Genomic DNA, 17,514 nt, shown 5'->3' with positions numbered 1-17,514 from the left:
GTCTTGCAGAATATCCCTTACTTAGGATTTATCTGATTTCCTTATGATTAGATATTAAATATTTTGCTGTCAAGACTCCAGATATGGGGCTTTAACCAAAGTGTATTTTATTTCTTTGGTTGTCTTCCCTACCAGCATGTGAGTTCCTTACAGACAGGAAGTATGTCTTACTCATTTTTGTAACCTCAGAACTGAGTATACTGCCAGGCACATGGTACCAATAACTCATTGCCTTCCCTCAATTTGTTCCTCCTTTTTATTCAGAATTTTAGTTGCTTCACTCAGCCACCCACACTAGAGAGCTAGTTATACTTGACCCCTCACTCTTCTCTCCTTCCATCTCAATCTAATCACAAAGCCCTACCTTTTTACCTGATGAATATTTCTCCAACCATTTCCTCATTTCCATTCCTGCTTCAGCCTTCACTGTCTCCAGAACTATTAAAACAGCCCACAAACTGACCTTGCTGCCAGGCTTGGCCCCATCAAATCCAGCTTCAAGACAGTTTTTAGTGATCCATCTGAAAAACAACCCTGATCATGTTGCTCTCTTGATTTAAAAATCTTCAGAGGCTTCAGTGACTTATGGAATGGAGTCCAACCGCTTTAGCCTTGATGAAGAAGTTCTCCATGATCTGATTGTCTCCTACCTCCTACCTCATCCCACCTTGTACTTGGTTCCAGTAATGTCAAAGCCCTTGAAATAGACCTGTTAGACCTGCCGCATCAGGCATTATAATGCCTCCTTTACACATTTGGTCTCATTTCATCCTTATATCAATTTGTGACATAAATGGAATTATTTGCATTTTTAGATAAGATTTGAATAATAAGCTAATAAGCGGTAAAATCTAGACTTAAACATGAACCTGAAGCCCTTGCCCTTCCATACTGCAAACATATTTCTTACTCACCATGCTATTTCCTACCTTCATGCCTAGTCCCTATATGCAATGTCTTTCCTCCAGCCACTTATCCTTTTTGCCTCGCTAACTCTACCCATCCCGTAGAAATAAGATCTAATATGTTTTATTACCTGCTATGTTGAATTTGATACCACCTTGGGGGTTCTAAAATAGCCTAACCCTAGTACTGTACGTACTATGTTGTAACTTAATGATCATTGACATGTCTACCTCCACTAGACCAACAGGGCTGAGATATATTGGGTTATTCTTGTATATACAAAAGACAGCCAGAATATCGGCTCAGTAAACACATGCTGGGTGAGTACAAGGGATGACTATGGGCCACAGAGCTCTTGATGTTGTCCCATGATGCATTGCTGACTAGGATAAAGGCATGAAGACATGAAGGCATTGCATACACTTAGTGATGTGCAAACACATTACTCTGTTACAGAAGAGGAATTCAAAGTTAATTTTAATTTATACTGGAAAGAAAACTTCAAAGAATGCTTAAATGATTTAAAAATTAATCATAATTCTAATACTGCTATTAGTACTTTTTGCCTTTTATATTTCACATACATGCATTTGCTTTGTTACACTCGGGATAGAATTTGTTCTATGTGCATAAACATAACTATATATGTTGGCATAAACACAAACACAAACTACATATATATATAGTTACATATATATGTTGCTATTTTCATCGATTGTGGTACTTTTAACATTTCTATATATCCTTCATAATTATCATTTTAATGATTACATATTTTTCTAGGTTGAATTTATTAAATCTTTTCCTTTAATCTTGGACATTTATGCTATTTTCAGCCTTTTGGCATCGTAGATAAGTGTTCTGTGCATATATTGTTTGTTGAATAATTAGAAATTCTAGAGAATAAAATTACCGAATCAGTCTATAAATTATTATGCTTAATTACTGTCCAAAAGAGGTATGCCAATTTATAAGATCACTATAAATAAATAAATGGATTCCTTACTTTCACTGGCAATGAATACAATATTTCTTAATCCATTTGCTTTTTTAATAGGTGACTAAAGGTATCTTCAGGTTCCATTTGGGATAGTGTTTCCTCGGTATTTGTTTATTAATATTTATGTAATTTTGATGTTCATGTCATTGGCTTACCCAGCTTTTTCACTTTGAGATTTCCTTCTGAATTTTAGTTATTGTTATACAAAAAATTTAATTACAATGTTTTCACTTAGTAGAGGCTTTCTGTATTTATAGATTTAGTTGGGGCAATGTGTTTCCCGAGTTTCTTCTGTGGATTATTACATTGTGTAAGGCATGCCTCTAACACTTGTTTCCTAAATTGTTATATTTTAATCCTTATTAAATGTCTTACCCCTTTTTTGGAAAGCTGATTTGTTTTGGATTTATTTCTAATTTTCCTACCCCTTCTCACTGAGGTGGCTTTGTGTTTCTGCCAGTACATGCAGTTTTAAGTTCTAAAACTTCTTTGTAAGTTTAATGTCTAATGTGATTAGATTTTTTCTTTTTATTTTCTATTACAGTCACACTTTTCATATTTTTTGTGGAAATTACGTTGATTCTAAAAAATCACATTGCTACTTTGAAGTTGCACTAAATCTGTAAATTTCCCTGGGGTGAACAGATAAGTAATTTTTAGTCCCATTCTGGCAAAAATTATACCTACCTTTATTCTTCTGAAGATTTATAGGTTTCTGTAAAAAAAATACTTTGCTCTTTTCTTGTTCAGTATAATTTTAAGTGTTCTATTGCTTTTAATAAAATGACAGCTAACATTTACTAAGCATGTAATATGCACCCGACATTGTGCTAATTATGTTATCTCAGGTTATTCATAGAAGACCTCCCACAAGGTAGCTACCGTTACTATCACCATAACTCTCCCGAGGAAGCTGAGGTGTAGATTGATCATGTAAGCTGTCTAGGGCCACATGGTTGTTAAATAGTAGAGCTATGATTTGCACCCAGAACTGTCTTTGAAGGCCATGCTCTTAACTGCCGTCCTGTATTTATTAAACTGGAATTAAGAACTATGAAAATGTTGAATAAAAAGTTACTGTGCTATAGTTAATATTTCAACTGGAAAAGAAGTGGAAGGCCACTATCTGTTTGAATATGAAAAAACTCAGTTGTTTAGTAGATCTTTCATACAGTATGACCCAATGAAGTGACATGATTGCTGCTGGGAGAACTCCCTGCCAGAACCTACAATCATCCTCCATAAAAGGAGGGCAAGCTCCGACCAAAGAGTCAGATCACTACAGGTTGGTGGGTAGCCAAAGATTTGTTATGTAGGGGAAACTTACATACAAAGTGGCCGAAAGACGAAGTACATCTCCACCCTTGCAATACCTACCTGTCTAGCCTTCATAGTGGAGTCACTGACCACATGTTAAGCCACTGATTGCTCTCTTAATCTATTTACTGTCTGCTTATGGGGATTGTTTGGGTTCCCTACAATCTGCTAAGCATTACTTAGGGGCTGCTAGGGGAGGCCTATTCCCAGCAGCAGCATTTATCTTGCAGCCAGGATGCTTTCTCCCATCTCACTGTGCTACAACTTCTCAAATCACATACCCAGAACGCGTTTCCACAACAATTTCTTTAAAGTAGTGAAATCCAGCAAAATCCTGTGTTAATAGATACACGTCAGTTTATGGAAGGTGATAGTCCCAGTGGATCAACATCAACAATGTTGTGTTCTTGGCCACATACTTTGAGTAGCTTATATAACAGAGTTGCATCAGGGGACAATATCGTGGTAGATAAAGAGGAGATATGTGGAATAAATGGTTGAGAGGTGGGAACTTTAGGTGTGGTTAAAATAAGACATTTTAAGAGCTACTATGAGCAGGAGGGAAAATATAATGAACAGAAATTTCAAGGAGACAGTAAAATCTTTAAGAATTAGCCAGTCCAACAGTAAAACTGACTTTGCAATTTAGTGTTTCACCTTCTGAAGTGTTTAAGCAGAGGAAAAAGTTACAAAAGTATTCCTAAACTGCAAAGGAAGTTGGCTTAAATTATAGGTTCTTAAAGTGCAAGTCCAGGACCAGTAGCGTCCACCAAAAACCACAGTTAGAAATGCAAATTGGTGGACCCCATTCCGGACTACTGAATCGGAAAGTGAGGGTGGGGTCCACCAGTCTGAATCTTAACAAGTCATGCAAATGCTTCTGATACAGGCTAAGACTGGAGAACTTCTAACCTAGATAAATTCTTAATGGTCCTGTACAGAGTTAAACTGTTAAACTCTTCTTCTTGTCACACAGTATGCTTTTATAGCATTCAATGCAATATCAATCGTATACTGCATCTAAGGGAAGTTAGCTATTGAAATAGCAAAAGGATCTCATTTAAAAAGTGGTTTTAGCCAATAAATGGCTTCATAATGTGAACTATGAAATAACATTTAGCTGAACTTCAGGTATCCCAAAAACGGATGGATGCCTCACATCATACCAAGCTATGTCCACTAGTGGAGGCATGGATCATCCTCATTATAGGTCTAAACTTTTTGCCAAAGGGACACATGAGGAAATGAAGAGAAACCTGAGTTATCATAGTTTAACTCTTTGCTTTTCATCATCATCAAACTGAATTGAAATCCTCAGGAGGTGGGTTGTAGTAGATGGGAAGAACATTGTAGTTTCTCATAGCTAGGAGATAATCAGTGTTGAATTCCCTTGCCGCTTACCCATATGTCTCTCCACGCTGTAAGTTCATTTGGCTTTGGGGCCATGTCTCATCCACCTTTATCTTCCATAGTGCTTAGCATAGTACCTGTGAAAATTAGTGTTCAATCATTGCTTATTAATTGTAATGTGTTTAATTTGGTCAATATTCCAAGTTTAAAAATATCTGTAAGTATTAAATGACAAGAGTAAGAAGAAAATCCTCTAGGCTCCCATAATCAAACACAAACTATTTACATTTTAGAACAATAATTCTCAATCTTTTCTCTCATACTTCATTTTACATGTTTATAATCACTTTTAAAATTCTGAGTTCTACTTTTCCCCTGTATCATTGTGCATTAGAGTCAAATTACACAACATTCAGATATGCAAAGAGAATATAGCTTTATAAGTTGCTAGAGCTAACTTGATTCTTATTAGGTAATTCGGAAAACTTGACAATTCATAATAGCTTAATTTCTTCCAGTTTAAGCAGTCTGTCTATAAAATACTCAAAGTTTAACTCTCCCTCTGTCAGGGTGAGGTTAAAAATAGTCCCTTGGGTGACTGAGCGTATTTTACAGGCTCAGTGTTTTAGATTTGTTTTCCATCTGTTTCTTTACAAGACAATCTGTAGTTTGTGTGTGTGTGGGTTTTTTTTGGAGGGGTAGTGGTGGGAATGGACCGGAAAATGGCTTATGTGGGATCATAAGGATGGGGGGGAAAAAGTCTCAATTTTTTCCTCTTCTATTATATTGCCTGACTTCTACTGGTTCACTGGCTTTCTCAGAGCCCCCACACTCGCTCCCCTGGGCCCACTGGCACACTGGGATTACGAAATGCACATGGGAGTCAGGAAAACTGTTTTCTGCTCGTCTGTCTAACCATCTTTATCAGTTTTACACCATCGCTCCTATATTACTTTGGATTTGGCCCTGAGTTAAAGGTGAAATTTTCTAAGTACAGAAAGGGAAACCACCCCTGCACTTTCAGCTTTCTCTTCAACCTACGGAAAAGTCTCTGATTCCTTATAACATATGCCTGAGAGAGAAGCCAAGACACATGCTTCCCACCTGCTTGCCCTAACTCTCTTCCCTTCCAGTTTGGACTTTTTGTTCACATCTCTCTGCTCGTTTGGATTCTCCCCTGCACCAGCATTGATAGCATGGTTTCCTCTTCTTGCTTGACTTAGAACTACCATACCATACTTTATCCTGTGTTTTTTCTGTCAACCTAAAAAAAAATCAAACCAAACAAAAAATATTGTTATAAGGCCTATCTCTTCATATGAGAAAGGAGGGACTTTAAAATTAGCAACCCATGCTGTTGCTCCAGAAACCTGGCTTTCAGGTTGTCTATGTTCTTAGGAAAGTCTGTTTTGAGACTTACAGCTGATCCATGATGCATGGGGCAGCCCCCACTGTCTCCTTCCCTGAAGAAAAAGACTTAGTTGAAATCTAACATGATTTAATGGGGAAATACGTTCATTAAAAAATTTGATATAATTTTAACATGTATACCATTTAAAATACCCATTTATGCTCTGGTGTTATATACTTAGCACCATAATGGGAGATGAATGTACTTAATCCTTGAGGTGGTATCATTACTCCCATTTTACAAATGATACATTCAGGTTCAAAAATAACTTATTTCACAAAGGCCATTCTTTCAACTGCATCATGCCCAAGATTTAAGCAAACACACATAGTGTAGTTGATTCAAGCATTCCTCCATACGTAGACATTTAACTTGCCTGAAGTTTTAAAGACAGATCTAAAACTGCTAGTACAAAGGCATGGAGCTTCACATTCGAAGAATACTCCAAACCAAATGGGGAAAACACATAGATTAAAAATAGTACTAACATATACATCAACCAACTGCAATAGAACAATCTTATTTTGATCTTGATTCAAACACAATGTAAAAATGTCAGGGAAATTGAACATTGACTAAACGGATACTTGATTATAGGGAATTATTGTTTGTTTTGTAGCTATCAGGCTTTTAAATAGCTCCTGGAGATATATATGCAAAATCATTGTAGATGAAATTAGTCATGCCAGGATTGTTTCCATGTAATGTGAGGTGGAGGATTGGGTGGGGACAAGAAAGGTGGTAGATGAAACAAAATTGATCATTGAGCAAAATTTGATCATTGTTGAAACTGGGTGATGGGTACATGAGGGTTAATTCTTTCATAGTTTTGTATATGTTTGAAACTTTCCATAAAGAAAAGTTCTCAAAAATGGGGTAATAACTAGAACAGCATTCCTTATGCTTTGAGTTCTGATCAAGGGAGTGTTGTTTTTCTAATATTAAGCAAACATGCATTTACGTAATTTGTTTCCAGTCTCTCAACCCCTCACCTTCAACCACTGCAGAGACTGCCATACTCTCCTTCTACATACTACACTTGTCAGATGAAAAATCTTCCTCAATGTGTACAGTAAAGAGAGGTAGTCAGTTCACTTGAGTTATTCATGTGTGAGTGTTGAGGGCATGCAGTCAACACAGCTAGTGAACACAATGGCTGTCTGAAACAGGCCTTGCCAGAGCCTTGTTATTCCACTTCTTACCGCAGTTTTATCATGTGTCTGAGGAAGTGTTTCCCCTGCCAGGCAGGACGGAAATTTGAAAATTAGTGCTAGCTTCAAATGCCGAGGAGGCACACACTGACATCTTCTACCTGTCTCGTTGGTGCAGCCAGGATGCCCTGCAGAGTGTCTCATTAACACCAGGGGCTTAGCCCAGGCAGGGTGCCCCAATTTGCCTGTGCATCCTATCTAGGCAGTCTTTATTCAAACCATGAAATATCCTCAAGTCACATTGCATTAGACCCTTAAAGTGTACCTGTTTTCTTTAGAAATGTTTACGGGATTTTTCTCATCACGGTGCTACTGAACTAGGTATCTGGCAAATTCAGCTGCAGTGAGACAAAGTGGCAATGTTTCATTAATAACTTTCACTCTCGATATTAATCAGAACTCTTATTTGTATAATAACATTTGTTAAAGGGAAGAAGGAAGAAAATAGGCAAAGATAACATATATGGGGGAGAGGGGAAGAATAAAGAATATAAGATGATATTGATTGCAGAACATGAATGAAGCAAGTACATTATCTTGATTATAGTGGGAGTCTGAAATGGAGACTGAAAAATAGATTGAATATATGAATTTTTCCATAAGACACATGATGAGAATTAGAGTAGGGAAAAATATCCTCTTGAATTTGTACCTTTCTTTCATATCCTAGACATGCTAATAAGAGGTTCAAGATGAAAGATGGTGGACTTTGGTTATAACACTTCCTCTTCTATAGCTTCTCTACAAAACTCAAAACAGTATGCCATTAAAAATATTCATATGACAGTCAAAGACATAGCTCATCCTCAAACTCCCAGCATATACCAGTGACTTTTTCATCTTTTTCCAAAATTTGTCAGATTTTGCTGTTTTATACAAGTTGACAATTAATATGGAGCTGATTGATTTCCTCAGGGTAGAGCAAAAGGGAGCAAGTTGTAGGGGTGATAGTCATGGAGATTAACATTAATGGGGTGAATTTTCTACTCTGAAGCATGTCCTAATCATGTCTGTTCTTAAATGAACCAGAGTTTTAAATTGAAAGCAAATGGAAGAAAAGGAAGTAAATAATATGTAGATCCTGACTCATCGGAACTAACATTTGTAATTGTACTAAGCTTCGTGCTTTATACACTGTATTTGATTAAATCCTTAGAAGTATGTATGTAGGTAAATTTTATTCTCCCCATTTTACAGATGATGAAACTGAAAATCTAGAAGTTCAGTTACTTGCCCAAAACCATACAGCTTAGGAAGTCACAGAGCTAAGCTTTAAAACCAGCTCTGTCTGAATCTAACACCTGTTTTATTTCTACTGCACCTCATTGACTCACTGCAAAGATCATGCTAAAGTAGTTCATGGGTTTTGAAAATATTATTCCAGGTACTACGGAGTTTATAAACTTTTTGAGTTACAATAATTATAACTATAAATTTGTATGTTGTAGGGTAAGGTGTCATGGAAAAGGAAAATATATGTAAATTATAATATGTCGCTAACAATATGTGTGGTCCTGAACTGATAATTCTCTGGGCTCACATCTCTGCCAAATATAAAGTGATTTGATTAGATCAAATATATAAATCATATTTTTCTTCCATGATTTACTTTTTCTTGTTGATGGATTTTACATCTCAAGTCAGAACTGAGACTTTAAAACATCTGAATGCTCAGTTGGGCTGGACTTAAATTATATCAGCCTTCCATGTCAGCCAATTTTCCTCTAAGTAGCTCTTAACTACACACGCACACATACCCAGCACCCCTCTATATTCTACATACCTAGCATTATTTTTATTCAAGGAAGGACAATTCAGAGCAGGTTTTATACACAGAAGCACACAGGTAAAGAGTTCCAAGCAGCTCACTCACTCCGTACAGTATGAACATTAAGACAACAGCCAGTCTATCTACTGCACTGTTCTCTGACAATTTTTGTGAACTAAGTTACGTTGATCTGGACCCTGGTCCAGAATTCTTGCCACATTGTATGAACCTGTGCTGACCTCTTCCACCTCATAACTCTGAGAAAACAGTTTATGAGGTGCAATAGACAGAATAGATGCTAGATTCAGACACAAAGATGGTCTTGGATCTCTTTTGAGGGAACATTTTTCAGTCAACAATAGTGGTAGCTTTTTTGGAAAGTTTTAGACCTTCAGTTTTACAAAGGAAATGCTAACAGTAGTGCTGTGGTATTCTACCTAGAGGACAAGACACAGTTGGATGAAGTCCTCTCTGCTATAGATACTGTCAATATGTGACTGTCTTTCCTGCCAAATTGATAACTTCCTGGGTAGAATATATACTATAGGTCAATTCCTCTACCTCTATAGCATCTAGCTCAGTGCCTGATATAATAGGCAGTAGATCAAAGTAGCAGAGTATATTTTTTAGTGGGAAAATAAGTGAATTTTGGAGCCAGACACCCCTGGGTTCAAAATACTGGCTCTGTTAGTCTGTTTTGGGAAAAGTCAGTTAAATTATCTGAGTCTGTTTCCTTATCAGTAAAACAGGAATAATAAAGCTTCCTTTGAATGTTGTCTGAGATTTTAGAAACAGTCAAGGCAAAGCAGCTATTAGGTAGTAGACACTCAATGTATTATAGCCAACAGCAGCAGTATTTGAAGTTGATAGCGCTCAGTTAGTATTGGAACAATGGATTTATTATAAATCTCTATTATGACATGGTTCATAATTCAGATAAAGAAACTGCCATGAACCTTTCGAGGGGAAAGAAAAAAGATTTTAATAATGAAGAGCCATCTGTCTTGTGAGGTAGTGAATCCCTGTCCAAAAAAAAAAAAAAAAAAAACTTCAAGCTGTCTTTTTGAACAACCACTTAAAGTTGAGAAGGAAGTTACATTGGACCATTGCTAGGAACCTTCCAATTCAGCAGTTTTTGAAATTCAGACTTATTTTTAGTAGTGAAGGCTTCCCGGTCAAACACTGAGCCTCATTGTTCAAGATAAACTATTAGTAATTTGCCTTTGCTGCAACTGCATTCTATGGAGAAATTGAAGAGACTGCAGCTAGCTTCTAATGAATCAATCTGTTTTGCTAATAGCAGCAAAAAAAATAAAGAAGGCAAAATTTAGTTTATAAGGAAGGGAGTGATAATCATTCAACATTTGATTTATAGTCAAAATGCAGTGAAAGAAGGAAAATGGTTTTGAAAAAGTCTCCCAGGATGAAAATAGTTCACCTTATCTCATGCTGATTAGCACATGGACTCAAGCTTGGCACATGTTTTAATAGTTTGTTTTCAAAGAGTGGCAAATGTATAGAGGATGGAATGTTCAGCCCATCTAAGACCCCATGGAGCTGATCCTCCAGTATATCTCACAAGGGGGTGGGTCAGAGAGGGACACTCCAAAGAGGAAAGACAACAGAAATGGAAATTCTCATAAGCCTAACACCACGTAAGGGAGGCACTGGCATTTGTGTCTATTAAGGAACAGAATTTTAATTGGGAGACTATTTAAAGACTAATCTTTTGTGCCTGATGAAATGACATCAGGAGACTTGCCATGATTGAGTTAGCCTTCACTCAGAAGTATACTCCATAAAGATATAAAGATTTTCTTCCCTTCTCAGTGGTCAACAGCATATCCACCCAGATGTAATACTGTTTATATACAGAGTCCAAAAGACTTACATGTACTCAATGGAATTATAAGAGATAGCACTGTTACTGTGTCCTGCTCATCTTTTTACATACACACACACACACCTGTTACACTCATCCTTCAAGGCAACCTAGATGGCATCTCCTTTGTTAAGCTTTATTTTTTCCCTCTTGTCTTCCCACTGTTAGTTGCGCCTCTTTTAGAAGTATATGCAATAACGTGTTCTCTTAAATTTTGCCCAAATAAAAATCCCAGATCACCTTTGCACTTAGTTTATATATAGAACTTCTTAAGCTTTTTAAAATTGCGTAGTCAAGTGTATTGGCCTTTTCCTTTTATTAGCCCAATTTCTTAAAATTAAGGGTGCAGCCTTATTCCTCTGGGAAACATTTATAGAAAACAACTTTATGTATGTTCAGTTTGTAGATGCCCACGGCCTACTTATACTTGTTTTTCAATTTGGTGAGCCAGAGGAACAATTGTTCATATAGAGGTCCGTCCTCTTCCCCTTGCTTACTAAAAGGGTCCTTGGCTTTGCCCTAAACTTCCTCCCTCCCCCTTACTCCCCGACAAAGGAAGATCTTTCCTTGCCAAACTCCTTTAAGATTTCGTGCTACACAATCAAAAAGAATTGTAGACCTAGAGAAGGAAATTCAGAAGGTTTATTTGGAAGAGATTTAGTGACAACTTCTAGAGAGCGAACAACTATGGTGTCTGAGGGAAGTGAATACAGAAACAAATAGAATTTTAAAAATATTGCTGTGGTTTGCGAATATTCTTCAGTATCTGAAAAATACATGCAAAGAGGCTGCTTTTCTTTGAATGTACATTTTGTTTGTTGGAGTGTTTGATTTCAACACTGCTTGGGTCTACTACATATGTTATAATTTTATAAGCAAGGCTTTTTTTTTTTTTTTTGAGACGGAGTCTCGCTCTGTCGCCCAGGCTGGACTGCAGTGGTGCAATCTCGGCTCACTGCAAGCTCCGCCTCCCGGGTTCACGCCATTCTCCTGCCTCAGCCTCCCAAGTAGCTGGGACTACAGGCGCCCACCACTACGCCCGGCTAATTTTTTGTATTTTTAGTAGAGACTGGGTTTCACCGTTTTAGCCGGGATGGTCTCGATCTCCTGACCTCGTGATCCGCCCGCCTCGGCCTCCCAAAGTGCTGGGATTACAGGCGTGAGCCACCGCGCCCAGCCATAAGCAAGGCTTTTTTAAAATTTATGAATATGAGCAGGTGCACGTCTCTATAATGTTGTATAATATATGTTCCCAATACTTCAGATACTTAGTTTCCCACATCCTCTTCTTTTTTCTCATTAGAGGCCCCTTCTGGTCTCATAGTGGTTTTCTTTTCCCCATCCACTTAATGGATACTTAAATGAACCATGATAACTGTCCTGGCATGGTCTCAAATTAAATCCATTACAAATGTTGGGTTGCTTCAGCTAAAATGCCTCTTATCATTCCAGAAAATGAAATTCCGGACTCATTTTTCAGAATTATCTAAGAAGAGCCAACTTTCATAAAATCTTATTAAAAAGTGGTATGGTGGTTGAGAGCTCAGCTCTGAAACTCACTACCACTGTTTCATCTTAGTTCAGTTACTATTCACTGTGTAATCCTGGGAAAATTACTTAACCTCTTTATGCCTCAGCTTCCTTATCTAAAGGGAGAACATCCCTTCTCACAGGGTTTTGGTGACACTGTATATGAGTTACTTCAGGTAAAGGACTAGTAGAGTAGCTGACGCCTAACATAGTATCTGCCTCCAAATAGGTGTTTTAAGAGGTTGTGTCTTACAGATACTGCATGAAAATTTGCTAGAACTAAAGGCAACCACATTTGTGATCCATATTTGAGTTCCTGGGTTCTAATTCATTCATTCGCTAATTTATTGGTAGTTCATTGAGTCCCTTCCATGGCAATTCTGGCTGTATGCCAGCTATGAAGCCACAAAGATGAACAAGACACTGTTTCTTCCAAAGAGCTCAAGCGCTGCGGATAAAATAACTACATAACAAACAAATTAAAATGCAGTGTGAAACAGCAAGAATAAAAAAGCCTATAAGAGACAAGGCAGTGCAAAGGAACGAGTAATTAAGACTGTTGAGGAGCTCTCAGAAGACTTTTTTTTTAAAGGAGACAGAAGATTAGCTGAAGAGTTGAAGAATGAATAGCAGCCCAACAGGAAAACGAGCAGGAAAAGATCAAGGCAAGGTAAATAGTGTGAAAAGTTCTGAAATAGTAAGCAATTTAGTCTTACTGGAGTATAAAGTTTAAGTCTAGAAATGGCAAGAGATGGTGCTAGAGCAACTTAGTGCGCCCTGGTAAGATGATAGATCCAAGTCAGACAGCTGCTGTTTGTTGCATAACTACTGTTTGTATAACTAGGCGTTCAATTCAGAGTTGTCTCCGTACCTGGAGTAGACACAGGTTGTGATTATGTGGTTATTTTATTCCACCCATACTTCCGTTTTCCTACTTTAACATCACTTGAATTGACTGCTTGAACTCGGATCCTTAGAAATAGGAATTCATCCACAATAAGCCAAGCAGCAGCATGGATGAATAATACACAGATACATCAAGATGTGTGCAGAGCCCTTAATGTGTAACTAAGTGCAGTAAATGTTACACTTGTCTCACTTAAACACCCAACTTCTCATTTGTATGGTCTGAGAACCTTCTATTTTTCCAGTCCAATTTTACTTTCAGACCTTTTGTTGAGGCTGAGCTAGTCATTATATTTTCTGTGTCTAGAAATAGTCTGGCTTCTCCTGCTTCTTTTGAATTTTCTTGAGCTAACTTTGTAAGGAGCCTTTTTTCCTAATTGTCTCTTATCTTACACGTGTATCTATTTGCATTTTTCCATTTTAGATATTTGACTAGCCTACTAAAAATGAACTACTGTCCTCCATTGAATCATGGACTTATGAGTCAACTCAGGTTAGGTTGCACCAATCTTTGGGCTAAAGTCTTGTCCCTTTGTCATTCTTCGCATATTTCCCAAAGCAACACTTTTCCTTTGGACTTTTCTGATGGAAACCATATTTGCCTAAAATTATTGCCTCCATTGACTAAAAATTCTTCCTTCTAGACAGATAAATACCCTCAGTCATAGGTCTACTAGAACTAGATTGATAACTTAAATCTTCCTGGTTTTCCTGGCAACCATGGTTTGACCAACCAGGACCCACAATAATCCAGCTAACTTTACCCTGGATGTGTGTCTGCAGCCTGTTCTGATGACACCTCTCCTTTCCCATGATGTGCAGTGCTCATGTATCCTTTCGCTTTTAGTAAAAAAGAATAATTAGCTAATTATTGGTAACAAGATTGTGAACAGCACAATGTTTCTACATTTCTACATGATGATGGGCTGTTTGTTCTTTTTGTCTTCCAAAAGATTGCCTTTTCACCTACAAATGGTGAGCACAAAACAGTCCTTAATATGTGATGGTTTGGCTTCTAATATAATTACTGCCTCACCAGTAGAAAACTCCTTTAGGTCTCATTTAAATTCTTTAACACTTTCTTGGCATTCTGTAGAGATGCTTCCTAAATCTCAAAGCACTTTGCTAAATCTATATTCCTATCTACTATTCCAACAATAATTTTTTAAAAGTAGAGGCTAGATATTGAATGACCACATCATGTCAACTGCCTGATGAGTCAGTATTATATTAGCGCATGTGTGTGTGTGTGTGTGTGTGTTTGTGTGTGTGTGTTCTGCTATCATTTCATCCTTGTTTAAAAAGCAATTCATAGCTAGAGGATTTACAAAAGCTAATTAGGAGCTTTCACATTCATACAGCACCTTTCTACTAAAATACATAAAATACATAACATATATTCAACATACCCCTACAATGATGTCAGCTCTGTATGCTCAAAAGATGTATTTCACTTCAATTCTAGTGCCCTAAGACATTCATAGAATTTTAAAAATGTTTTCTCTGAAACAAAAGTCAACAAGATACTTAAATGTTTTCACTGAAGATAAAACTGCATAACATTTACCAATTATGTGAATATGGAATGGATAATAGCATGTGTGGCTAATTATCAAATTGTTACATTTACCAAAAATTCGACTATTTCATTTCAGTTAATAACACTGGATTCTATTATATACTGTAGCATACCAGAAGCAGTATTGTAATTATCTGAGGTAGTCATATTAACTGTAAAAGACCTTCACAAATGAGACAGTGCCCTTGAAATTATTGAATTGTTTTGAGGAAGTCATTGATACCCACAGTGAGAGCACAGGTTCTGAATTCAAAGTAATGTCATCTAAAATATGTCCTATAAGGAAATATATGGCTTTATCTATTTTGCCTATACAAATCCCTCTGAAGCATAAATCATTAAACAGAAAGAACACTTATCAACCGAGTTAGCAGTATGCTGACAAAAGCTAGGAAAATAAAAGCAACTCCAGACCATGGTACCAAAAGACCCTGAGGGTTGATTTTTCTAGAGTGTAGGTGCTGCAAGCTAATGCATAATTTTTGGTTTTTTAGAAAGTATTTGAATATCCAAACAGGCACATCAGTTAAGGAGTTGCATGGATGTTGAGTTCTGTGGTTTGCAAGAGCTGTGGAATGGAGAAAGACACAGTGATAGATACTTCTCATGTACACAGTGCTCATAGCTAGCTACACTTACTCTATACACTCAAAATCTGCAACTCACACTTTATTAGCAATTGCTAACTGATCTACCTGAAATGGTATTTTGGTTTGCTTCTGAAGACTGAGGTCAAACAAGTGAGAGGAGACAAAAGGTCTCTGAAGAAAAGCAATTTAAGAAGTAAGTTTAAATTATTAAATACATTTCACATATAATTTATAAAAATAAGTAGCAATTTTAATTTAGTTTTTTGAAATCATAAGAAAAACATGACAGGTCATTAACTATCATCCCTGAAAACTTGTTCTGAGAGAGAAATCCTTGTTCTCCAAGCCAGAATGGAATGAGTTTTCAGTTTGTTCTACAGCCAAGAGATATTATCCTCGTTTTCTAGGCTGACTTGCAAAGCCCTATCCTTCAAATATCACACATAAGGATATTTGAGTTCTTTGTGAGTTGCTGAAATTCTGGGCTTCTGGGCCACAAAAGCCAGGCTGAGCTTTCCTAACTAGAATATGTGCGAAACCTCCAACTAACTGCCTGGAATATACACATTTTGGAAAACTGTCAGAAAATGCTCCCTAGCAAGAGAAGAGCTAAATAGAACGGGCTTCTCGGGAAACATTCTAAGAGGGAACAAGATCACAAAGCAGAATTCCGAAAAGAAAGAAAGTGAAATAATCGGCTTTCTTCTGCCCTTCACAGCTGCCCCTCTACCTATTCAACAACCAGCAAAGGAGCTGCGTTGTTACAAGATGTACACTGGGGAGCAGAGCAGCAGCTGGTGTGCAGGCTGCTGAACGCCCCAGCAAGCCCTGGCCCCAGGAAACAAACACCTCACAGGTTTAAGGTAGAATGAAAATGGGAAATGAAGCTAATTCACTTTGGAGGAGCCTCCTAGACAGGGAGGAGGGCCCGAGACCTCCAGAGCACATGAAGCTTCGCTAAGGCATCTCTTAGAAGGGAGACCTACAGAAGCTCATACAAATGAACAGCCCCTTCTTAGAGAAGGTGATATTGAAGTGTGTTTACAAGAATAAAACGCACAAGGGCCCACTGGAAAGGGCTGGACTTGGGTGTGGGGGATGGGAAATCCTTGTTGACTGAACAAATGTCCTTCAAGTGAACTATACATGACTTGGGTTGCATTCACTTCAAACTCTCACTGAAGTCAGCTACATCTTCTGTCTTCCTAACGAATTTAGCAGATTATCCTGGTTATACTTTTCAATAAGTTTCACACATGATGTGAGCTTTGTAAGGATGGTATTAAATTGGGGCAGAATAGAAACACTGCAAAAAATTTTGAAGTAATTTTTTTTTTGCCATTATAAAAGTAATCCATCCTCAAAATATAAAAAAACTAGGAGAGAAAGCATCAGTCCATGATGAAATTACCTAATTGACATTTTGGTGTGTTTACTTTCCAGTAGCCTTTTACAACTATACCGTGGCAGTTTATTCTCCTAGTGCTCTGCCTCCCCTTCCCACCAACTAAAGCTGTTGATGGTTCTCTCCTGCACAGGTTTCAGTAGGGCAGAACAGCAGGCCAGTGCAAGTGGGCAAGAACCTTTGATGACTGCTAATAAGAGATCCCCCTCCCTAGCATTGCCACAGTGTCTCCAACATGCTCCCATTTCGGAGGGTACTGACTCTTGCCCCACCCCCATCACTGAGCTTCTTTTGACTCTGGAATGTAACATGTATAGTTCTGAAGACAAGCCATAGGAATTCAATGAGATTTGGTAAAATTCATGCACACCTATTTAGTGTAACACACTGTGCAAGCCCACTGAACATTTGCAAAGGGAATGGAAGGCACAATTCACATACGCAACTAACAACGTAAGTAAAGGGATCATAGCAGCAAATGCAGAGGGTTTCAGGCTTTGTATTAGCTGCAACAGTACTGGCTTCTGTCTACACCATGTTTTCTAGTATTCTAGAACATTTCTCATCTGATTTGAGAGCCGCAAGGATTTCATATGGATAAATTATCAGAGAAAGAATGAAGCTGACTGGGATGCTGTCTCCTAAAACTTTCAGGCACA

General features: G+C 37.6%; 1 protein-coding gene across 18 annotated transcripts in view; it reads left to right on the top strand.

The window, feature by feature from the left end:
* LINGO2 (leucine rich repeat and Ig domain containing 2) overlaps positions 1–17,514 on the top strand; it is a 1,275,985-nt gene that overhangs the window by 1,163,166 nt on the left and 95,305 nt on the right. For 4 of the 18 annotated variants that reach the window (XM_011517728.3, XM_011517724.3, XM_017014305.2 and 1 more), the window contains exon 1: positions 12,200–16,313. The exons of the other annotated variants lie outside the window; for them this stretch is intronic. The gene's annotated coding sequence lies outside the window, so the exon portion shown is untranslated. Of the gene's footprint in view, positions 1–12,199; positions 16,314–17,514 lie in introns of those variants that run through there. 18 annotated transcript variants of the gene reach the window in all.

The sequence above is a fragment of the Homo sapiens genome, chromosome 9 (assembly GCF_000001405.40).
Source record: "Homo sapiens chromosome 9, GRCh38.p14 Primary Assembly".
Taxonomy (NCBI): domain Eukaryota; kingdom Metazoa; phylum Chordata; class Mammalia; order Primates; family Hominidae; genus Homo; species Homo sapiens.
Note: the sequence above shows the minus strand (reverse complement) of the source record. Positions and strands in the feature narration are given on the sequence as shown.